The sequence below is a fragment of the Homo sapiens genome, chromosome 8 (genome assembly GCF_000001405.40).
Source record: "Homo sapiens chromosome 8, GRCh38.p14 Primary Assembly".
NCBI lineage: Eukaryota > Metazoa > Chordata > Mammalia > Primates > Hominidae > Homo > Homo sapiens.
In genome coordinates, this window is record NC_000008.11 from 56,956,503 (window position 1) to 56,982,547 (window position 26,045).

The 26,045-nt window shown below is 36.8% G+C and overlaps 1 protein-coding gene across 2 annotated transcripts in view; it reads right to left on the minus strand.

Annotated features, from left to right (window-relative positions):
* Positions 1,429 to 26,045, minus strand: part of BPNT2 (3'(2'), 5'-bisphosphate nucleotidase 2) — a 35,937-nt gene continuing 11,320 nt past the window's right edge. The window contains exons 2-5 of one of the 2 annotated variants that reach the window (NM_017813.5): positions 23,533 to 23,695; positions 21,548 to 21,643; positions 9,689 to 9,850; positions 1,429 to 7,562 (exon numbers count right to left, since the gene is read on the minus strand). In NM_017813.5, coding sequence (NP_060283.3) covers positions 7,291 to 7,562; positions 9,689 to 9,850; positions 21,548 to 21,643; positions 23,533 to 23,695 — 693 coding nt within the window. In that variant the 3' untranslated portion in view covers positions 1,429 to 7,290. Of the gene's footprint in view, positions 7,563 to 9,688; positions 9,851 to 10,607; positions 10,717 to 21,547; positions 21,644 to 23,532; positions 23,696 to 26,045 lie in introns of those variants that run through there. The other variant, XM_047421917.1, reaches the window with a different exon arrangement.

A 26,045-nucleotide genomic window follows, 5' to 3' on the forward strand; every position in this document is an offset into this window, starting at 1 on the left:
CTTGGAAGTATATGGAAGAAGTGGTAGTGAATTCCAGAACACCGGCCACCTAGACAACAGAGGCTGGGGCAGAATTCGCCAGCGTTCAGAGCAAGCCCACAGTCTCCCCAACCCAGCCATCTTTACATGCAGCTTTGTCAATGGGGAAGTACTAACCTGCAAAGTCAATAAATACTTTTTCCAAGAAGTCCTTAGGAAATTTAATGTGCAAAATTTCAGTCATGCAACATTGGAAAGAATGTCAATTTATACTTAAGAACTATAGCTGAAGAAATTAAGATAATGTTGTGGGTAATAAAATGTTGCTCTCAATGGACTTAAAGAGAGAAACAGTTTGCCAGTGATGGAATGAGAGGTCTTGCTATTTTGAAGCTTGCTTTATTGATCCTCAGAAGAAACTTGAAAAATTCTAAAGAGGCTAGATGATGCCTAACACCTACAAAACTTAAGAACAAAAGCCTGTGTAGCCTTTTCATCATACTTTTTTTATTAGTGAAACTGGCCCAACTAACCAATAGAACTGATGTTTATGGGATTTTTTTCAATCAACATATTGACCCTCCTGGGCTTAAAGCTTGAAACTTATATTTGTCTTATCTGAGTTCCTTCAGGCCTCCCAGATAGTATTAATAGCAAGGAACTGAATCTTACCCAATCATCCCATCCATCCAATGAGATGCCAGACCATTCATTCAACCACTTGCTGCCTGTTGACCCACTCCATTTCCTCACCCCTCCTGTTTTCCTTCTCTGCTACATAAACCTGTAACTTTAGTCAGGAATTTGGGGGGATTCAGTGAGAGACAGATTTGAGAGATTTGAGACTTATCTCCCATCTCCCTGACTTAACATCACCCAAATAAATAAAGCCTTTCTTCCTTGGCAATACTCATTGTCTCAGTGATTGGCTTTCTGTGAAGCAAACAACCAAACCTAGACCAAAACTGTGATGTTCAATAACACTACCACCTTTCTACAATTTTTTCCTGTCTTTTGTTCTTTTTTTATCCTCCATCTTACTTTTTAAAAATCTCAGAAAGGATTCAAGTTAGTTTTATATGTATGTCATGTACATCTGTTCTCAAACAGATGACTTAAGAGTTCAAAATCAGATGAACTCATAGAGACAGAAAGCTGAAGAGTTACCAGGAGTTGGCTCAGGGGTGGGCACAGGGATTTTAGCAGTGGTTGGCGAGGATGGTGGAGAATGAAGAGTTACTATTTAATGAGTATAGTTTGTTTAGAAATGATGAATAGGTTCTGGAAATGGTTCCAGGTGGTTGCATAAAACTGTAAATGTACTGACTGCCACTAAACTGTACACTTAAAAATGGTTAAAATGGTAAATTTTTATGTGTGTTTTACCGCAATGAGAAAAAAAGGTGGGGGGGCGGGGGGCGCAAAAAAAAGCAGATGCAGCACACCATCTCTTTTAGACATGACCAATTTATTCAGAGAATTCAAATTTCGTTTGGCAAAGTATATCCGGGGCAGAGAGTTTGGGATAATTATGTCATTGGAAGCAATCACATTATCTACAGCAAATTGCCTGGGGTAGTATCTGAAGGAAAGGCAAAACTTTTAAAAACAATTTAGTATGTGGGGGGGTGATAATCATAAATATTTGCAAAGGTAACAAAACAAACAACCAGCTTATACAACCAAGGCACAAAATATGCTAATGCTAATAATCCTTTATTCAATTTAGCTCAACACACATTAAGTACTTAATTTGTGCAAGAGACTGGGCTATGTGCTGGGGGTGAGGTGGAAATACAAAAACACTAAGATGCAATCCCTCTCAAGAACTGTATAATCTAGTAAGAGCACATACAGAGATGGTGCTTGCAGGTAAAAACTGCTCTGAAACCATGGGGAGAGAAGAGTTTACTTCCTTCCAGAGGGTGAAGTCGGGACCCATTTAAATTTGGTAGTATGGGTGAGGAAGGTCATAACACGCTAAGTAAACTGGTGTCTAAGCATGTGACGGCAACAGCTAATGGTCTAGTTCCTCCATGGCTTTAAATGCATGAAAGGGAAAAGAGTATTCAAAGGTATTTTTATTTTATCTCATTGTTAGCCCAGTATAAGGCAGGATGACAAAAAATAAATAAAAGTATGAAGAGGCAAGAACATAGATTGAAAACTCCATTTCCTAGTTTTAGTGTAAACTCAATCCCTTGTGCATATACATCTAGTTCCTGAAGTCCACACTGCCAAAAGGGAAAAACAAGAAAAACCAGCCCTAGCAGTGCCCTGTCATCATGGCAGAGCACTGTCTCTTCTGTGGGACTGAAACAGCTAGCTTTGGCTACTGCCGGTAGTGGACAATATGGCACATGGAAATTAAAAAGTCCATAAACGTGCCCTCCTAACACGAGAATAAGAAAGGTGGCTGAAGTAGATAATTTCAGTGACGGAGGGGATGAAATATTTTTTGGTTAATTGATGTAATGATGACTCACTATGCCTTATTTCCTATTTTTAAAAACACAGAATGAGCAAGTCATTCCTGAACAAAAATTTACTGTGTGTATAACATACACCTCAAAATGAATTTTAAGGGAACATATTACTAATCAAATAACACAGTTTATGCTTTTTCAATTTCCACAAATTGTTAATTATGATACTTAAGGGAACCCTTACAATATATAACAAGTCATTTCAATATTATTCATCATCCTTAACTTCTGAAAGTTTGGTTTATGTTATCTTATCTAGAAAGAAAACTACTTACAAATCTCATTTTCCCACAAAATTAATTCAACATCCAACCTTAAAAATAAATAAAGCTTTGCCAATGGTAAATTGGAATGCATATACTTGCCAGGCTTTGATGAAATAAAAATAAACGATTTACATAAGCAGTACCTGGTAAAACCAAAACCTCCTTTTGAAGTATAAAGTTCCATTCTTCTTGCCCTCTCAGAACTGCCAATCAATTAGAATCCTCTCCCCCAGGAACTGTTCTGGTTTGTAATGTCATACACAGTATTTTTTAACATTAATAAATTATTGATATGCTACCATAAATAAATAGTCACTTTTTAAACCAAAATGACTGTAGAGGACTAACAGCACACTGAAATAATTTATTTAAAACTAAGATTTGTAAAACTGTGATCTATCCTGGTCTAATATTATTAAAATTAAAAATCAAAAGATGAAATATTATTTCAGACCTATATACATCAAGATGCCAGTTCTTATAAAAAACATACTTTAGTTGTAAATGCTAGGTTATGCAAAAATAATTTTATTTCAATTTAATTTTAATGAATCTCCCCCAACTATAATATTAAAAACATCAAAAGAACTTAAGTTTTAATGGCAAAAAGTTCCTATTTTCCCCCATCTACTAAAAAGGTTGTTTTCCCTTATTAACATACAATGCCCTATTGTTAAGGCACAACTTTTTTTAGATTAAAAATGAAACCATAGATTAGGTTTATTTTATACAACAGTTACAAGACAGACCTTTTGTAGGCATATAAATACATCTTAAATTCAATCAAGATCTAAAATGAAAAATTATTTTTTCTTTCTAGGATCAATCAACACATAGCCAATAGGTAGTTACAGCTAGAATAATTCCAACAGTTCCTGTTTTAACCTGTCAGATTGTCTCCAAAAGGCCATCTTCAAAGTGCGATCTAAGAGAGGAAAGCTGAATATTTTCCTTTCTGCATCGGCACTCCACCTTTCTTTACTTATGCTCAGCTATCAGAGATGGCTGTCACCTTCAAAGCCTAAGTGAGATCCAATTTTTGAATTCAACATGAAACAAGGACAGATATCCTGATCCTGGGGTGACCAGGGTAGATGTCTGCTTTGCATCCTCCCTGTTACCCTTCTCCTGACCTCCCTCTAGCTTCTTTCTGACCCTCTTCCTAGCCACCACCCCTCTCCCTCTGACACAGTTCACAAAATATTCAAAGGGAGCACCTAACAAACAAGAGGAATTTGCACAACTGTTACTTAAAACATACAAACCAAAATGTTTTTGTTACTTCATTATATAGTATAAACAATCAACTGAATAATTACTGATTTAAAATAAAGAAAGAAACACTAAAATTGGGGTAGCACATACCAAGACAAACATGACCATCTTGTAGGTCCTTGTAAATTCAACTGAACTGGGGATACAAGTAGGAAAACAGTAAAAGCAAGTTTCCTCAAGCATGCATATCTACCCAACTCTCTTGTATTTTTTTTTACATTTACATTCTTGAACAATGGGTAGAAAGAAATACTTCGTAAAAACACTCATATTAGACTTGACAACATAAAGGGTTGTGGTTTTGAAGGTGATTTTCCTTTACTTTGTGAGGAGTCTTTGTAATCTAATAGTGAACTAGGCCTCCTCCAGGATTGATCTCTGATACTAGGAACTTTACCAGAGCTTCAGATTTCAGCAGCCAATATCCAGAAAAATGTATATCTAAAAGAATTTGGGAGTGAGAGTTGTGAGGGAAGTATCCTGGCTAAGAAAGAAAAGCAGAGATAAAGGAGAACATGAACCGGTAAGGGAAATGGTCACAAGGTAGAAGAGATGAAGAAGGGCAGAGGAGGGGGACAGCTGATGGGTACTGAGATCACTGATGTCACTGCCTCTACTAAATGTGGTGCATAAAAGTCATATTTTAAGAAAAATTGCCTCAAAATAAGGGCAACAGTGAAGAAAAGACCAGGAGCTGGTGAGGTGTGGGTCATTAAAAGCAAAAGGTAATGACTTTGCTACTTTTTAGAAATAATTTTAATGTAATTCTGGGAGATAACATTACTCATTCATGAAGGTGTTTTACTAGGATGCTATGGCACAATGTCTTGTGTAAATAAATATAAATACTGTTCCTAATTCTGCAACGTATATTGGCTTTTAAAAACAAACAATTTTAAAAATGAACTTTTTATAAAAGTACTTAAAAAAAATCATTAGTAACTAGACTATACCCAACATATTATAAAAATAATGTATTTAACTCTCAACCAATACCTTAAGTTTTGCACACAACACACACCCTTCACAAAGTCATTATCTAGATGCAGATTAATACAATTAAAAATAAAAATAAAATCATCACTTTGGGAGGCCGAGGTGGGCGGATCACCTGAGGTCGGGAGTTCGAGACCAGCCTGACCAACATGGAGAAACCCTGTCTCTAACAAAAATACAAAAAAATTAGCTGGGTGTGGTGGTGTATGCCTGTAATCCCAGCTACTTGGGAGGCTGAGGCAGGAGAATCGCTTGAACCCGGGAAGCAGAGGTTGCGGTGAGCCGAGATCACGCCATTGCACTCCAGCCTGGCCAACGAGAGTGAAACTCTGTCTCGAAAAAATAAAATAATTCCTGCTAATATGAACTAGTTTGCTTCCCATTAAATCAGAGTTCCCATAAAACATTGAAATTAAATTCCATTTTTTACTTGCCAGTCCCATTTCCCTAACTTTGACATACTATAATAAAAACAGATGCTTATACCACAGGACTCTGGCAACAGCATATACCTTTGCCATCTCTCCTGAAAAAGAAAGTTTCTTCAGCTTATTGCAAAGGAAAAAAATGAGGTCTCTGATACTCTTTTCAAAATTTTCAAGTCCTATTTAAATATCAAGTGTTCCACCTACCAAAACTTTGAATGAATTTTCACTGAAAAGGCCTACTGCTAAGGCCCAACACCTTCTCGAATTTGACCAGTTGCAAGAGATTGGGTGAAAACATTTGTGTCATATTAGATTCAGTTTACTAATAAGAAAGTAAAGGGCTTTGGACAATGTAACATACAAACCTAAAGTATGCACATTCCACCAGGCTAGAACGTACATTCTTTGGTCAATTTTACTTCCAAGATGGGAAAATAAAGGGTAAGCTGCTTTATGGTTAAAAAATTTAGCAAAGAAAGAAACCGTGAGAAATCCCTCTCATCAGCATGTTATGGAATACAAGGGCACTGGAGTCACATGAAATAACGGCATGGGTAGTTTACATGAAGTTTCCAGATTTCACATTGAGAGAAACCATACATCCCAATGAAAGACAGTTCACAAAGCAAGGTTCTAGTTACGGTAACACAATGAATATGTCACAACTTTTTTTTTCTAACCAGACTAGAAAAAAATTTCATCAAAAAGTACCTTCAACCTTCTCTATTTTAATCTGAGGGGAAATTAAGAGAATCTCAAAAGTTACTACAGAGTTTGGGTAGGCTAGATACATTTATTAATAGTAAAAGCAACCATGGCAAAAGCAACCATACTCATTCTTGATAATGAAAGGATCTTCTATATACAAACCTAGCAAATTAAAAAAAAATACTAAAACAAAGTGTCTGAAGATAATGAAAGGCAGTTCAATTCATGTAATGTCAAGTAACTTTCAATTGTAATAGAATCATTTATATTCTTATAGTGCCTTACAGCATATTTTATCGTTAATGAGAAAATGAACCAAAACTATAGTGCTAACCCTGAAACCTTAAACCGAACCTTACAAAGTTAAAGACTAAGTGTTGGTCAGAAGGAAAAGGATGCAACCATGCATCTTCCACAGGGAAAATGAAAATAGCAAGATGGCAGAAATGCTGAACTCATGGGTACAAACACACTTTTCTTTATAAAAACAAAACAACACACACACATACACACAGAAATTATTACAATGCAAATCATCATGTGTCTCTATTTTCTACCAGCTGGTGAACCTGTTATTAAAATTTAAAAGAAAAAATCAATTAAACTTTTTCTATTTTAATCCATAGAAATATTCAGTAACATAAATACAACATTTGTTGCATATTAATGAATGTGTGGCTTCTTGTGCTTTCCATCCAAATTAGAGGTAAAAATCCCCAATGACTTTATTTTCAATGAGATATAGTTGTAAAGTTATATTAAACATCTACACAAAAATCAATCTTTCCTTCAACCGAATTCTATATGAAAGTACTAACAGTGAAGATTCATGATGTTGTGTGAAAATGGTGACTCATAACAATGTAGACTCAGCTACAGATTTTAATTCACAAATATATATATGCGCCTTGTGTATGACAACTGTATGAAAATAGTCTCAAAAATAAAGACAATACTTGAGACACAAAGCAACCCATTTTCCCTGATTTTGCATTCTATTACAGGGAAAATAAGTCTCTGATGCTTCATAAATACTTTAAAAAGTTCGGGATGGCCTTAACCATGCATAGTCTCCACCAATCCTTTGAAGCTTCCAGCATCTCAGGCTAACCATTTCAGCTGTGAAGAACTGTACCCTGTAATCAGTTATGCTCATTTATGTCCTGTCTTTTCTAGATCTGGGAGTTTTCTGACCAGGGCCTGGTGGTTCATTCTGATGCTAGCAAGGAGTCCCCCTTCAATGCCGTCTGAACCAGTGTAACTGATTTCTTCACCACTCAGGGTAGTCATATGCCCCCCTAGGGCTTTTAAGATGGCATTACCAGCACATATATCCCACTTTTTGATGTATGTCACATGGATGTATAAATCAGCTTTTTCTTGACTCTTATCAGGCACATCCAAAAGTGCTAAAACTTTATAACCTAAAAGATAAACAAAGAATTTAGGTTATTATTCAAAAAATTTTAAGAAAGTAGCATACTTTTTTGATTAAGTATCCTGTTAAAATAGCAGGATGGAGTGTGCAGGAGCTTGCTGCAGTCTCTGCAACTGCTTAAGTTTAAAATTATTTCAAATTAAAAAAATTTTAAAGTAACTGTATAAACATTAAACTCAGAACAAAAATACATTGCAAAGTAACTTATTGTTTATTTTTATTTATTTATTTATTTTTTGAGACAGAGTCTCGCTCTGTCACTCAGGCTGGAGTGCAACAGCGCGATCTTGGCTCACTGCAACCTCCACCTCTCGGGTTCAAGCGATTCTCCTGCCCCAGCCTCCTGAGTAGCTGGGATTACAGGTGCGTGCCACCATGCCCTGCTAAATTTTTTTGTATTTTTTAGTAGAGACAGGGTTTCTCCGTGTTGGTCATGCTGGTCTTGAACTCCTGGCCTCGTGATCTGCCTGCCTTGGCCTCCCAAAGTGCTGGGATTACAGGCGTGAGCCACTGCACCCGGCCTGCAAAGTAACTTATTAAGCTAGTCTCAAATGTAACCAAATATATACCTACAATTTAAAAATTTTAAATCTACATTGTGGTTATTTTCTATGGAATGACACATTCATTACGTGCCATTTTCTATGGAATGACATATTATACACACAAGTTTTACCTAAACATCTAAGTAGGCCCGATGTGAAAGAGAACTAACAGTAACACTACCACTCTAAAGCCTTTTTGTAATGAGGCAGAATTTAAAAACTAAAGTAATAAAACAAATGCAGAAGAAACTGGGTCTAGAACCTAGTCATCTCATCCCTGCTGGGTATTCTGGACATTACTTTTCCTAACCAACCTAACAGAGAGCCTCTAAGAAAATAATGAAGCCATATGAAAGAAGGCAGATATATAGAACAGAAAATTAAAATTATTAGGCATAAAAGTTAAAAAGTATTGACCAGGTGTGGTGGCTCACGCCTGTAATCCTAGCACTTTGGGAGGCCACAGCAAGCAGACTGCCTGAGCTCAGGAGCTCAAGACCAGCCTGGGCAACGTGGCAAAACCCCGTCTCTACTAAAAATAAAAAATTAGCCAGGCATGGTGGTGCATGCCTGTAGTCCCAGCTACTCGGGAGGCTGAGGCACGAAAATCACCTGAGCCCAGGAGGCGGAGGTTGCGATGAGCCTAGATCACACCACTGCACTCCAGCCTGGGAGACAGAATGAGACCCTATCTCAAAAAAAGAAAAAACAAAACAAAACAAAACAAAAAAGAAGTATTACTTCTCCCTTTATGTGTGCTGAGAAGGTTTTCCAACACATTTGTTTTCTGACCATAATTTGCTATTAACCTGAATTAAAACATTTCTGACATGTTAGACAGTACTCATAACAGGAGTTGACAAACAGCCCCTCAAGCTAAATCCGGGTCATGGCCTGTTCTTACAGGGTTAAGATGAGAATCTTTAAAAAATATGTTCAAAAGTTCATTAAAGAAAATCAAATAATAGTATGCAACAGAGACTGTATATATATGGCTCATGAGGCTTCAAATTTTATTATCGGTTTCTTTTCCAAAAAACTAGGTTGACTATAATACAATAGTAGAGAATATACGATAAGGTGGGTGCGCACTAGCCTCTCTTGCTCATCCCAGGTATGCAGGTTAAAGAGTTCAGGGGTGTTAAAAGTGACTCAGGGATTAGCCTTTCTAATAATACTTATGATGACTCCTGGCGTCTTTCTGCCATATGAAGCATCTTAAGTGCTTGATCTTTCTTCCTCTCCTTGATATTCCCACAGTTAAGTAAGACAATTATTTTGAAATCAGACTGCATAAAAAGCAATTAGTGGTAGATCTAATGGGAATATGCTTTTGTGTATTCAAGAAAGAGAAACCACTGTTGTGAGACTGCTTCTTTCTAATAAGAAGGGCAGAGTGACTAAAATCCCACCCTCGAGGTTACCAAACAGGAGACCAAGCCTGTCTTGAAAGTACACCACTCCTCCTCACTTTCCTCCCAAGCATGGACAAGCAAATTAGTCTCCTAACATAGCCTTGACCATGCCAGGAACATTCTCCAGGGACCACACAGGAAGAGGAACATACCAGCACCACCAGCTGGGATAATTGTAGTCTGGTTTCCAAAAGTCTGAAGAGCGACCTGTTTGACCATCCCTGAATGGGAACGAGACACAACGATCCTTGGGGTCTTCTCATTGTAGGAAGAGCGGGCTTTCACATTTGAACCACCATCTACCATTGCCCAAGCTGAAAAGCAAATATAATATCCATTAATGGCACTGAAGCTTTAAAACTAAAGGTTATATTCTTCAGAACCCAAAGTGCTATGTATGACTGACAAAATAGCTCTCTTCTAAAAAATTATTTGTATTTTCCCCCAAAACAGAAAGCTTTTTTTTTCAGAGTACAAAAGTAGTATATATGTATTTGTAAAATAGACATGTATTAAGACAAAACTAAAAAAGTTCATGTTATCTTGCATAACCAAAGACAACGACTATTAAATATTTGGCTTAAGGATTCCCATGCTCCACTGGGATGACACTGCAACTCCACTTCTCCCTGCATCTATCCAACTTCCTTCCCTCTCTTTCACAGTTGTGATCCCAACAGCACTCCCTAATAAACACCCTGAAGCTAATCTCCAGCTCCAAGTCTGATTCCTGGAGAACCCAACCTGCAACATAAGCACAAGTAACTTCCCTAACTCCAATTTTAAAATGCATTTTCTCCTATACTGCCTCCACTTCTATATACTCATGGTTTCAATTATTTGAATATTAGCTCAATCTCCTAAGTGACTTTATAAACAGAAAACAGTTAAAAGAGGTGAGTTAGGTTTACATATCAGCCTTATCAGAGAGTATTAAAGAAAAAGCCTTAGATTTCAAAATAGAATAGAATTTTTAAAAGGGAAGGGGATGTCAGAGATGGCTTCAGATGATTTTCCTGGTTTGGAAGTTTTCTTCACTGACTATAAAACTATACAAGAGAACAAACTTACTCAGAATTATCCCAATTAGATTGTTGTTTTAGCAGTCACTCACTACAGGGCAAGATATAGTCCACCATGGCTAGTAATGAAACCAGCTGCATCACCAGCTTATTTCTGGCTGCAGAGAAAAAAATCAAAAACATTAGCTGAGTTTGGGTTTCTGAGTTCCCCAAGAATGATGGCAGTCTCCTGGACTCTTCTCATACCTCCTTCTAAAAACTATACACAGCAACAAGAAGAACAAATAGAAATACCCATGCTCTGTACCTACAGAGTAAGTAGGAGACAGAAGAGAGCTACCAACACAAACGTATGAGAAAGTAGGGAGGTAAACACTGAAGAACAGCAGGATAAGCGCTGGAGCTGACCCTAGTGTGGGGATTATAGCAAGAGCTTCACAGAGGAGTTAAGAGGTCAGAGAACTCTCAGTGGCTGTAGGACTCAGATAACAGCAGCCAGGATTTCTCCCCAGAAGGAAGAGGTTCCATCTAAAATGGGAAGTATTGAAAAAGGCTTGAAACTTGGCAACAAAGCATCAAGCAGCAGCTTGGAGGAGATACGGGACCAGAATTGTAGTCTTGAGAACACCCTGGTGGCAGCAAGGGAGGGGATGATGATGTAAGACATCTTTTGGGATTTGGAAGGTAGCAACTAGAGCTGAAGAGAAGGAAGAGATTAAGATAGGGGCTTTATTGAAACAAGGTCAGATCAAACAAGAAAGAAGAGCTCTGAAAACCAAAAACCATACTGACAATGAAGATAAAGCCTTTCCCACACTAACAGAAATGAAAGCTCCTGAACTGGGAATCATCCAAACTCCCTTCCTGCCACCAACCTTCCATTAATCCCACAATAGCTGGCCCAAACAGGGATAAGAAGTATAAAACTGCAATGTCCACTGAAAAATATAAAAAGAAAACATAGAGAACATAGATTAAAACATTTCAGGATACTCAAATTTCCACAATGCAGAGAAAAACCATAAACCAATATTCTAACATGATTAAAAATAATAAGCAACAATATATTGAATAAATGCCATGAAACACAAGATCAACAACTCAGAAAAGATGGGCAAACAATAACAAGATGTAAAGTGGGAGCTCATATAACACAGAAAAGAAACTGAATAAAAAGAAAAGAACAAAATCACTGCAGGCTTAGCACTAAATCACAGGACACACAAAGGGCAACAGACTTCTCCAAAAGTATAGCAAGCAATGAGAAAAGCAAAAAGGAAAGTGAAACAAGTAAACAGATAAAAGGGATCACAGAGAAAGTGATAGATTAAAAAAAAAAAAAACAAAAAAGAGTCAACATACATATATAAGGAGTCCCTGAAAAAGAAAAATTAATGGGATAGAGCTAATCTTTAAAATTGCAATTCAAGAAAATGTCCCTAAAAAACAAAAGAGAACCTTAGTCTGGGCTCAGTGGCTTGTGCCTATAATCCTAGTACTCTGGGAGGCCAAGGTCGGAGGATCACTTGTTGAGCCCAAGAGTTAAAGGCTGCAGTGAGCTATGATCATGCCACTGCACTTCAGCCTGGGCAACAGAGTGAGATCTTGTCTCTAACAAAATAAAAAAATTAGGAGAGGACCTAAACATCTACACTGAGAGACATACTGAGTACATGGGAAATTTGCCCAGAATGCCAATTCTAAAAGACATCATAGTTACATCATTGAAGTTTAGTGGGTTGAATGAACAGTATCCTACCAAACTTCATGTCCACTTGGAACCTTCAGATTGTGAACTCATTTGGAAGCAGGATCTTTGCAAATGCAATTAGTTCAGCTGAGGTCATAGTGGAGTAAGGTGGGCTCTAAATCTAATGACAGGTGAGCTCTAAATCTAATGACTGGTGTCCTTATAAGCAGGGGAGACAGAAAGGAGACTGTCATGTGAAGATAGGCAGAGACTGGCTGGAGTGATGCATCTACTGACTAAGGAATGCCAACAATGTCTGGAGCCACCAGAAGCTGCAAGAGAAAACTTCCTCCAAGCCTGCAGAGAAAGTATGGCCCCACTGACTCCTTGATACCAGACTTCTGGCCTCCAAAACTTTGAAAGAATAATTTTCTGTTGTTTCAAGTTTGTGGTTAACTTGTTACGACAGCCCGAGGAAACTAATACAGAGTGAACCAAAGACTGTATAACTAGCCAAGTAGTCTTTTAAGTATCAAGACTATAGACAAAGTTGTTAGCATGTACTCAGGGAAGATCATACCATGAGTTAGCTCTTCTAAGGTAATCTATTACAGGACAAGCTTTATCCAACCAAGGGGTGACTGAGAAACTCTTAGCAAATGCATTGTCGGTTACCATTGAACAAATTTAACTGTGGATTTAAGGGGAAACCAAAGATGGGAATAAGGTAAAAGAATAAAGGTGTATAAATGGTTTTCTCATACTTGGCTGATAAAAGTTAAAGGACACCATTTAACTCTGACAAGCTGAACAGCAGAGTCGAAAAGTAAACATCAAAAAAAAACAACTGTCTAAAATGAAATGATGGTCAAGGATGAAATATGCTAATTTCACTGACGCTTATAGTAGTGAACCAAGAGACAATGAGACAATGTCTAAAGAAAAGGACTACATGAGTATGTAAAGAAAAAAGGATAAATAAAGGCATTAGTAAAAGCAACAAAAAGAACAAATTTAACTTAAAATAACAGTAGTTGTCTGAACCACACTGAACATATAAAATTCATTAAGATCATAAGAATATTTTACAGAGAGGAAGCCTGTTCCTTCCTGGAAAAACATGTTACCGCTGGAAGGGTTCTATACTCTAACTCCTTACTCTGAAAATTGGTAAATAAAGTAAAAGAATTAAACATTTATCCCGCTTTTCTAGAAGAAACATTTCAGGATAAACAAATTAATTCCAGTTAATAGAGAAAATTCTCTATAGAAGAATTCATGCTAATATATGTAGAAACAACAGAAACAGAAAATCTCATTTTATAACATCTTTAATAGAGCTTAAAACTATTATGCAAAAGGTTTAATAAAACTGGATCTCAAATGATGTCAAAATCTCTCCAGATTACTTGCTAGTAGCAAAAAAATAAAAATTTTGTAACTAAGAGATCAGGTCATGAACACTTTAATCATCTGAGCATCATGAATGGCGAGACAAGTATTGTGTAATATGATGCAGTAGGAAGTATGTGAAAAATACCTACAATGTATTCATGACAAAAATGCTTAACCTCAATCCAATCAAGGATTCAGATCTAATCTGCACTTTTTATAAGAGGATATAAAAATAAAGAAGTTAAATGACACCCTTTGGAAACAATCAGACAAGTCCAAAAGACAGACCATTCTAAAGGAGAAATGACTTAAGCTTCCCAACATCAATGTCATGGGGGGCATAAGGGGCCTAGGGGTTGTTCTAGATTAAGAAACCTTAACAACCTATCAACCAAAATAAATGCTTGTTGGTTGACTGGATCTTGGTTTGAAGCAATCAGCTGTAAAATCCATTTTAGCAGCAATCGGGGAAATGTAAATATTTGATGACATTAGGAAATAACTGTTAATTTTATTATATTAATATACTGTCCTTTTGTAGAAAATCTCCTTACTTTTTAGAGATGCATACTGAAGTATAAGGGTAAAATGTTTATTATGATCCTTATAATTTTCTTTAAGGTACACAGGCCAAAAAATAGGAAAGCAAATATGTAAAACTGTTATCAACTGCTAAATCAGGATGAAGGGGTATATAAGTATTCATTATAATTTTACGTTTGTTTGAAATTATTCATAAAAGTAAAAAAAAATGAAGAGAACAAAACAAAAAATCCTCTTAATCCTTTTCATAAATATTCCAAAAACCAGTTTTACTAAGAAGTGAATTTACAGTGCTTTATCTCTAGAGGTCAGTATTGTGTAAGAGAATAAAAATATTATAGCATATCTCAGTACATACTACCAGAATAATGTAAGAATTGCTGACTTAGTATTTTTAAAAATGTTCTTCATGTTACATAAACTCAATACATTTATTAGTAACACTTACATGAACATAATTATTTCAAGTGTCTAGTACAGTAGGTGCTTAAATAAATGTAAATGATGGATGATAATGAGGTATAGTGGTAAGGCAGAAGAGCAGCTACAAAATGTGTTTATTTTACCTGTAAGATAAGCTTAAAAAAAAAAAAAAAAAAGCCCAGTAGGAAATAAAAAGTGGTTGGTTGGTACGTTCCTACACCTACTTCAGAAATAACAATTTATTATTAATAGCTATAAAATTTCCACCGAGTGAATATACACTTGACCCTTGAACAACACAGGTTTGAACTGTGTGGCTCCCCTTACATCCAGATATTTTTCAATAAATATTTTGGTAAGCTTTTTGGAGATTTGTGACGATTTGAAAAAAATTCACGGACAAATTAAGTAGCCTAGAAATATTAAAAATTTAAGAAAAAGCTAGGTATGTTATGAATGCATAAAATATGTTGGAACTAGCTTATTTTGTCATTTACTACCATAAAATATACACAAAGTATAAGAAGTTAAAACTTACCAAAACTTAAGCACACAAGCACTTACAGACCATACATACGTAGTGCCATTCACAGTTAAGAGAAATGTAAACAAATGTAAAATCATAAACTGCACAAAATTATAGTATGTATTACTGAAATAATTTTGTACCACCCCCCCCCCCACAATGCTACTGTGTGGGCCCAAGTGTCATGAGCACCCACTTAAAACCCTATGTGACTTTGGGAGGCTGAGGAGGGCGGATCATGAGGTCAGAAGATCGAGACCATCCTGGCTAACATGGTGATACCCCGTCTCTACTAAAAATACAAAAAATTAGCCGGGCGTGGTGTCAGGCATCTGCAGTTCCAGCTACTCGGGAGGCTGAGGCAGGAGAATGGCGTGAACCTGGGAGGTGGAGCCTGCAGTGGGCTGAGATCACGCCACTGCACTCCAGCCGAGCGAGACTCCGTCTCAAAAAAAAGAAAAAAAAAAAGAAACCCTACGTGATGTAATCATCTCTGTGTGAGCAGTTTGTCTCTCCGGCAAACTGCTCATCATGGTAAAAAGTGATCTTTTGTGGGTTTTGCATATTTTTCATAGTGTTTAGTACAATTTCATAGTGTTTAATGCAAACTTTGAATAACACCCATGAGACTCATTTGAAGAGCCACTAGTGATGCCGGAAGTGCTCCCACCTAGAGAAAAATCATGACATTACAAGAAAAAGTTGAATTGCTTGATATACACCACAGATTGAGGTCTGTAACTGTGGCTGCCTGCTATCTCAAGATAAATGAATACAGCGTAAGAATAATTGTGGGAAAAAAAAAACAAGAAAACTCATGAAGCCATTGCTGAAGCTACACACCAACAGGTGCAAAAACCTTAACACTTTTTAATGAAATACCTTTTTATCTCATATTGAAAATGCAGCTATTATGTGGGTATAAAACTGCTACATGCCTAAAGACTGTAGTATGATTCAAGAAAAAATGAAGTCATATGACAACTTTAAAAAAAAGGAAGGTGAAGAATCTAAAGCTGGATTATTTAATGCCAGTAAAGGATGGTTTGATAATTTTAGAAAGAGGTCTGGTTTTTAAAAATGCCAAGATAACAGGAGTAGCAGCTTCTACCAACCAAGAGGCAGCAGACAAGTCCCCAGATGCCATTAAGAAAATCACTGAGTTCTGTCTGCTTGAACAGGTTTTCAATGCAGACAAGTGTCCTATTCTGGAAAAAAAAAAAAAATTTAAAAAAGGGGCCACAAAATACATTTATTAGTAAGGAAGAGAAATGAGCACTAGGATTTAAGACAGGAAGGGATGGGCTAACTCTACTGTTTTGTATAATGCAGTCAGGTTTATGACCAGGACAGCCCTTATCTACAAAACCGCTAACCCCCGAGTCTTGAAAGGAAAAGATAAAACACCAGCTGCTTGCTAGTCTTCTGACTACAACAAGAAGGCCTGGACAACAAGAATCCTTTTTCTGGATTGAGTCCACTGATGCTTTGACCCTGAAGTCTGAAAGTACTTTGCCAGTAAGGGACTGCCTTTTAAAGTTCTTTGAGTACTGGACAATGCCCCTGGCTACCGAGAACCCCATGAGTTCAACACTAAAAGCATCAAGTGATTTACTTGCCCCCAAACACTACGTCTCTAATCCAGCCTCTAGAGCAGGAGGTCATAAGGACCTTTAAGGCTCATTATACAAAGTACTCTATGGAAAGGACTGTCAATACCAATAGTAGAGAACCCTGACAGAGAAAATCATTCAAAGTCTGGAAGGATTACACCACTAAAGATGCCACTGTTATAGAAAACCCATGAATTCGTCAAGCCCAAAATAATAAGTTCCTGCTGGAAAAAACTGTCCAGATGTTGTGCATGTCTCCACAAGATTTACAACAGAGGCAATCAAGAAAATCATGAGAGTGCAGATATTATTTTTAAAAGGTGGGGCGTAGAGGGTTTCAAGATAGGGATCTTGGAGACATTCAAGAGTGAACAGACACCACACCAGAGGATTAACAGAAGACGACTTGATGGAGATGAGTGCTTCAAACCAGGGCTAGACGATGAGAAAGAAGATGTAGAAGAAGCAGTGCCAGAAAATAAATTGATTTTAGACAATCTGGAAGAAAGGTTCTCATTATTCAAGACTGCTTTTGACTTCTTTTATGACATGGACCATTTTACGATACAGTCACTGAAACTAAAGCAAATAAGGAAGGATTGGTACCATATAGTAAAATTTTTAGAGAAATGAAAAGTAAAAAAGTCAAACAGACATTACAACATATTTTCACAAAATTACATCAAGTATATCCTGCCTCTCCTTCCACCTCCTCCACCCGAGACAACAAAACTAATAATCCTTTCTCTTTCTCCTCCTCCTCTGCCTATTCAATGTGAAGACAAAGAGGATGAAGACCTTTAGGATAAGCAATTTCCCTCTTATTCAATCATATATTTGCTCTTATGATTTTCTCAGTAACATTTTCTTTCCTCTAGCTTACTTTATTGTAAGAAACAGTACATCATAAATATGCAAAATATGTGTTAATCAGCTATTTATGTTGTTAAGATTTTTGGTCAAAATGAGGCTATTCGCAGTTCAGTTTTTAAGGAGTCAAAAGTTACACACAGATTTTCAACAATCAGTGCCCCAACCCCTGCACTGTTCATGGGTCTACTGTACTACACTTACTTATACATTTATATATTACTTCAGTAAAATACTATTCAAGTATCTCTTGATTCTAAGAATTTCAAGGAATTAATTCTAATTAAGTCTGATAAAAATTTTTATAAGCTTTGCTCTTATTGCCAACAACAATAATATCTAGTTCCCACTATAGTGAAGTGTAGCTAAATTCTGGTAAACATACCGATACTTAACAACTGGTATTCCTCCAACATCAACATACCGTCTGGATCTGAAAATAACATTCCAGGAGGAGGGCACAAGCAAACATTCAGTGTGGGAATGGAAGGTCAACCCAACATAATTCTAAACGTATTGATTATTTTAGAGAGTTTGCGGACTAGCAAGCACCTTTGTGTTCCAGTACATTGGGCAAGTTAGCCGCATTACAGAAGAATGGGGTATTATATTACTAACTTAAAAAGACATTTTTAGAAACCACTTTTTGCTAAGTTAGGGACATTTGGCTTCTTTAAGGTGGGTAAGCCTACAGATGAGAGAGGAATATATATTCTTATTAAATAAAGGTTTCTAAAAAGGGGCATTTTATTATCCCTATTCTTCCCTCTAATACGTACAGATGTGGAAATCAATGCCCAGAGAATGTCAATCTATTTGCCTATCTAATACCAATTTCCTCATTTCCTTTATTGAGCTTCCAATTCTCTTTGGAATAGCAGGCTCTGTTTGCAGCTAAGGGTGCCATGTGACATTCGGCCAATAAAATGAAGCAGGGGTTTAATGGATAGGACTTCAAGATATTTTTTTCCTCATACAAAGAATATCTAGGGTAGACCTTTTGTCTCTCTTCTTTCTCCTTTCTTCCTGCCTAGAACTGAGAACCGTGGTAAATGAGAGGAGCCACCTTTGTGAACATGCAAACAAAAAGCTACCTTCTAAGAAAAAAAAGCAAAAAGAGAGGAGTCAGATCCTTATACGTATTATGGAGCCACTAAAGCACACCTACGCTTTGGCCTTGTTAGTTGAGAAAAAGAAACCCTTCTTGAACCACTGTAATCAGATTTACACTGTGTGTAGCTAAATGCCATCCTAACTGATATAGCGAGATAATAAGGGACAGTGTCAAAAGAAAAAGAGGGATTCAAAGACTTAGGCTCTGTCTTTAACTTTTATATGCCTGTTTTTTTAATTAAAAAAAGTCATAATTTCCATTTTATATTCCTTCCAGAGTTACTGAAGACTGAAAAAACTTATGTCAATGCACTTTATAAACTGTGAAAATACAAAATAATTGTAAGATACTATTAAGGAGTGGTTAGTTCTTAGAGTAACATTTTGAACTTATGGTTTCATGATAGGAGCTCCTAAGTCCATTTTTTCATCTATAAAAAAAGATAATGTCTTTCCTTGTCACATAGTTACTGAAAGGTTCAAATGAGATAACATTAAGTATACTGCAAATTGTTAAACACGATATAAATGTTAGAAATTATGGAGTTATTATTTTGAAAGTGGTGTGACACTGATTTGAATAAAATTTCTATGGTTGATTCTACCACTAATTTACATGAATGACCTTGAGGAAGGTATTAAATTTTTGAGTCTCATTTCCTCAATTGTAAGTGAGAGTACTGATTTTAGTAACTGTGTCCCTCTCTCTGTGTAGCAGTACTATGCTGTACTCCAACATCCACTTTCCCTGTTTTCCTTCAATGACAGAATCCCTACATTTTAGTTTGGATGGCCATTGAAAATAAGGACTACATTTTTTTGCCTCCTTTGCGACTAGGTTCTAGATAGCAATGGGATGTGAGGTGAAGAGATGCATGTTTGACTTCACAAGTCAAACCCTTAGTGGGAAATGTCCTCCACGTCTCCCCTTTTACCCTTTCCACTGGTGAAATACAGCTGAAGTGGTGAGCCATCCTCAGTTACACAGAGGAAGACAACAGCAAAGCAACAATAGAGATAGAACTGCATGCCTGGCACCAGGGAACTACCTTGGCAGTCATGGGCTGCTTATATACTGTCTGTTAGAGAAGAGAAAAATAAACTACTTTGTATTCAACCTCATATATTTTGGTGTACATTACAGCAGTCTAAATTAACGGCCTAGTGTGTATCCTAACTAATTCAGTAAGGATTAAGGAAAATATGTGAAGGTAATCCATAAGCCATAAAGCAATTATATAATTAATCTTACAGTATATTGTCATAGCAATGGCATAAATCTTTTGTAGCTTATCAAACCATCAACTTTAAAAATTATTTGAATTATGAAAAGAAGAAAAAAGGTCAGATAGCACAAAGTGGACTTGATTTTGAAACACAGAGCCAACACTCAAATAGATGTTTAGCCAATCTCAGAGCAGCCAGAATTTGGGATTCACAGTTATTCAGCAAAACAAATACATAATTTTAGAGTAATCAAAAATTAACTTTGTCTTTCCATTTCTCCCCACTTCACAGACAGCCTTTTTATGCAATTATCAGTCACGCCCTTAAGACACAATGGGGATGACTGCAGTAAACGATGGTAGTATGGGATGCCCATTGTATCAGTGTCCTAAAGCTGCCATAAAAAACTACAGGTTGAGAATCCCTAATCCAAAATTCCAAAATCTGAAATGCTCCAAAATCCAGGAAAGCACTGACATGATGTCACAAATGGAAAATTCCATACTGGACCTCATGATAGCTCACAGATAGAACTTTGCTTCAACCATAAAATTATTTAAAATGTTGTATAACATTACCTTCAAGCTATGTAAACAAGCTATATATGAAATATAAATAAAGTTCATGTTTATACTTGGGTCCTATCTCCAATATATCTCATTATATATATGCAAATACATTAAATCTGCAATGTGAAACACTTCTGGTCCCCAAACGTTTCAGATAATGGATACTCAATCTGTACCACAAACTTGGTGGCTTATAAAAATATATGTATTTTCTTATAATTCTAAAGGCCAGAAGTCTAAAATCAAGGGGTCAGCAGGGTTAGTTTCTTCTGGAGGCTTTGAGGGAAAATAACTTCCATGGCTCTCTCCTAGCTTCTGGTGACTGCAGTCCTTAGCCTATTAAAGACATCACTCCAATCTCTGCCTCCACCTTCACATCATCTTATCCCACATGTGTCTATGTCCTTTCTGTTTCTTATAAAAACACTCTAATTGGCTTAAGAACCTTCTCTAATCCAGTATAATCTCATCTCAATGCTTACCTTAACTTTCTGGGTTGTTATGGTTAAACTGTGTCCCCCAAAAAGATATGTTGACATCCTCACTCCCAGCACCTTGAAATCTGACTTTATTTAGAAATAGGGTCATGGCAGATGTACTACGTTGAGATGAGGTCACACTAGAGTAGGGTGGGCGCTGAATCCAATATGACTGGTGTGCTTGTAAGAGGAGAAGAGACACAGACACACAGAGAGAATGCCATATGATGATGGAGGCAGACACTGGAATAAACACTTATAAGCCAATGAACACCACAGAATGCTGGCAAATTGCCAGAAGCTAAAAGAAACAAAAAAGATACTCCCTTACAGTTTCAGCACCACGATTTTAGATTTCTAGGCTCCAGAACTGTCAGACACTACATTTTTGTTGTTTAAGACACATAATTTGTGTTTTTTTCTTACAGCAGCCCTAGGAAACTAATATAGGAGTGGATACAAATTTAGGTACATGACAGTAAATACTATAGACAAACAGTTCAATAACAATAATTCTTGAAAGTTCTAGCAAATTTCATACCTGTATATTCGGAAAATGGCTTATGTATAACTCCTAGCATGGGTTTACCATTTACAGCCACACACACCATAGTAGTGACGTACTTTCGAAGATCCTCTATGAGAAAAAAAACAAAACAACACACACAAATGTCAAAGTAATGTGCATAAATTCAAGATACAATATTACACTTTAGTTCATTAAAAAATTTATATACATGAAATATCTTTCCAAAACAACAATCCCTTCAAGCAAACAGAGTCTGAGGGCAAGAGCCCCTTTAAAGGAGTGGCTAACAGTTCTGGTTCACGATGAGATACCATCTCACACTAGTCAGAATGGCTATTATTAAAAAGTCAAAAAATAACAGATGCAAGTGAGGTTGTGGAAAAAAAGGAATGCTTATACACTGTTGGTGGGAGTGTAAATTAGTTAAGCCACTGTGGTAGACAGTGTGGCAATTCCTCAAAGGCCTGAAGAAAGAAATACTATTCGACCCAGCATTCCCATTACTGGTCCAAAAGAATATAAATCATTCTATTATAAAGACACATGCATGTGTATGTTCACTGCAGCACTATTCACAATAGCAAAGACATGGAATCATCTTAAATGCCCATCAATGATAGACCAGGTAAAAAAAAAAAAATGTGGTACATATACACCGTGCAATACTATGCAGCCATAAAAAAGAACATGATCAGGTCCTTTGCAGGGGCATGGATGGAGCTGGAGGCCATTATCCTTAGCAAACTAACACAGGAACAGAAAACCAAATACCACATGTTCTCTAAGTGGGGAGCTAAATGATGAGAACACATGGACACATAGAGGGGAACACCACACACTGGGGCCTTTCAGAGGATAGAGAGTGGGAGGAGGAAGAGAATCAGGAAAAATAACTAATGGATACTAGGCTTAATACTTGGGTGTTGAAACAAATCTGTACAACAAACCCTCATGACACAAGTTTACCCTATGTAACAAACCTGCACTTGTACTCCTGAACTTAAAAGTTTTAAAACAAATTGCATTTAGAGTCAAGACCCTTTTATATTATAAAAATCACACAAACAAAAGAGTTCTGGTTCTACAGGCATTACCTGGGTTATTCTCCTAGCCCACCATTTTGTTAACTGAATGTCCTTGAGTAAATTACTTAAATTCAGCTTCCTTGTCTGTATAATATAAACAATAACTAAGCACTCATCTTTAGGTATAAATTAACTTTTAATAAAAAAAATCAAATTAGATGCTTAAGAAAGTCCCTGCACGAGGGATGTGCTCACTAAATGTTATTACTATATGAACAGGCCAATCTCAGTTTAGGAGAACTTTTTATGAACAAATTTCTCGATATTCCATATTTCTATTATCTACTCCTGAAAAGTTCTGTGCTGTAATTTTAGTTACTATTAGATATATACATCTAGTGTCTTCTCCCTGTTCTCCAAAGTTATGTATTGATTGTTATGGTTCAAGTTCAGTGCAAAAGCACTGAAATACAAAGGTAAAAAGGTAGAAGGCTCCACATTTACAGAACTTACCATCTATCAGGATAAATAGATAAACTGTAACATATAAACCAAATGAAGAGTGAAAAGGCAGAAATTAGCTACCTGTGGGTAAGAAACAAGGCCTGAGAGGGGATCTACAAAAATAAAATCTGACTAGGACTAGGTAAAAAAGGGGACTGGAGGGACAGTAGTTCTGTTTTGTTACTTACTTGCCTTCTGGGTACCTAGAAATTTACTATTTTGAATTCCAAAGTCAGATGTACATGCATTAAAACTTAAATTCCTAACATCCCGAGTAAACATTAAATTCTGGCTAAAGAAGTTTCTTCAATTATAGGTGTCCAATATAAAACATTTTGCTACTACTGTTAAAAATGCTTCTTTACTGAACAATCAGTGAGCCACTATCACCTATAGGAAGTATGCCTTGGTTCTGGTTCTCTACTACTAAACGTCAATCAAATGTTTTGAGTTCAGTTTAAAAATTACCTGTATATTCCTGTGTAGCATCAAGTGGGTCAATCCAGACAGTAACACTTTCTGCTGGTACCTCTTTAGGAGTAGTTACTTCCTTTAGGATATCCTCAGGAATCTTATGATCCCACAAGATAACCTCCTGATCAGCTGCATCCACGTGTTCCTCAGTATTAATCTGCATTAAAAACAGGTGACAGTTAAAAAAAGTAAGACGAACAATCACTATTTGATAAACTACAAAAGTATTTCAGACAACAATCACCCAAATTATAAATAAGTAAATCCCTATTTTTATTTCTTTTGATGCTCCATATTGCAAAATGAAAATGAAAATGAAAAAAAAAAATCCATGACATCAGGTCTTTAAATGCTTCCCAATCTAATATTCAAGCCTGGTTTGTTGACTAATCAAGACAGATAATTCGGATATAGAGAAATATAGAGAAACTGAGCATTGAAGAAACAAGCTACTTAAACCTTAACAATGCTTTATGAAAGATAATAGCTCTAAAGTGTGAAAATAGACAATATTCTGGAACACAACACAAGCAACTAGAGTTAGAAGAAAGACGTATCATAGAATAGGGAGGTACAGTCAAATTTTCTACCTTTTTTTTTTTAACTAAGGAACAAAATTAAAAGATAAAATAAATTTAACTTACCATACAGATATGTAAGGATGTGGGGTAAGGAGAGAAATATAAGTAGAGGAAGGGTTGTTACGAGAATAGAGGAATATATTCTCTCCTTAAGGAATATATTCTCTCCTTACCCCACACCCTTACATACATACATATACACACACACACACACACACACACACACACACAAACCCCCCTTACACATATATATTCTCTCTGTATAATATATATTATATATTATTTCTACATATAACATATATATACATGTGTTTGTATAATACTTTATGTAAGTATTCTATTCATTTACAAACACATTACAGATTCCTTTAAATTGAGATTGCTCAATTTGGCACGACTGACAATTTGGACTGTATAATTCCTTGTTGTGGGGCTGTCCTGTGCATTGTAGGATGTTTAACAGCATCCCTGGCTGAATGCCACTAGAACGCACCAGATGCCAGCAACAACACCCTCAGGTGTGACAAACAAAAATGTCTCCGGACATTGTCAAGTGCGCCCCTGTCCCATCCTATGTAAAAAACACTGTTTTCAACAGTGTGCTTCTTAATGCATCCTAAAATTAGTCTAATTTGTAAAACAGTGTTTTAAAAATAATGTTTTGGCCAAGTGTGGTGGCTCACGCCTGTAATCCCAGCACTTCGGGAGGCCGAGGCGGCTGGATCACGAGGTCAAGAGATCAAGGCCATCCTGGCCGACATGGTAAAACCCCATCTCTACTAAAAATACAAAAATTAGCCAGGCATGGTGGTGCGTGCCTGTAGTTCCAACCACTCGGGAGGCTGAGGCAGGAGAATCACTTGAACCCTGGAGGTGGAGGTTGCAGTGAGCCAAGATCACGCCACTGCACTCCAGCCTGGCGACAGAGCAAGACTCCATCTCAAAAAAAACAAAAAATAAATAATAATAAAAAAATGTTTTAGAACTGCATTTACTTTTGTAAACTGGCATATACCAATTGACTAAATCTAAGAATTGAGTGTTCTTTAAGAATTAAGTTAATAACAGATCATCAATCTTATATGAATACTGCCTCACCATGAGACTTCTATCACATCATCATACACACACACAAGAAAAAATGTCCCCAAAATTTTGATTTTAGTTAGGGACTTACACTCTCAGCAGGACAGGCTGTTGGGTCCTGTGCTTTCTGACAAGCTCCCTTTCCAGAGTAGGTCATGTTTATGCTACATGTGATGCCATGCCTAGACCCCACGCTACAGTGCCAAAGCGATTACAGCACTGACAATACATGAGTATTGTCAATACAACATCTCTCACCTATAGTCTTCAGAAAGTTGCAGAGACACAGACATGATTTTAAAAAATATAACTATCACCAATCTCCAGAAGGTACCCTGAAACACCCCAAATTATCACAGGAGAGGTTAAAAATACTAATATTCTAGAAACATCAAACCGCTTAAATCATTAAATATCTCTTTTTTTTTTTTTTTTGAGACGGAGTCTCGCTCTGTCACCAGGTTGGAGTGCAGTGGTGTAATCTCGGCTCACTGCAACTTCCACTTTCCGGGTTCGAGTGATTCTCCTGCCTCAGCCTCCGAGTAGCTGGCACTACAGGCACCCACCACCACACCCAGCTAATTTTTGTATTTTTAGTAGAGACGAGATTTCACCGTGTTGGCCAGGATGGTCTCGATCTCCTGACTTCATGATCTGCCCGCCTCGGCCTCCCAAAGTACTGGGATTACAGGCATGAGCCACCGCGCCTGGTAAATCTTTAAATATTTCTCAGTACAGAGCAAAGTAAACATTCAATTTATTCACTTATGTCTTTATTAATTCAGCAAATGCTTATTGATTGCCTACTATATGACAGACACAGTTACAGGTCTTAAAGAT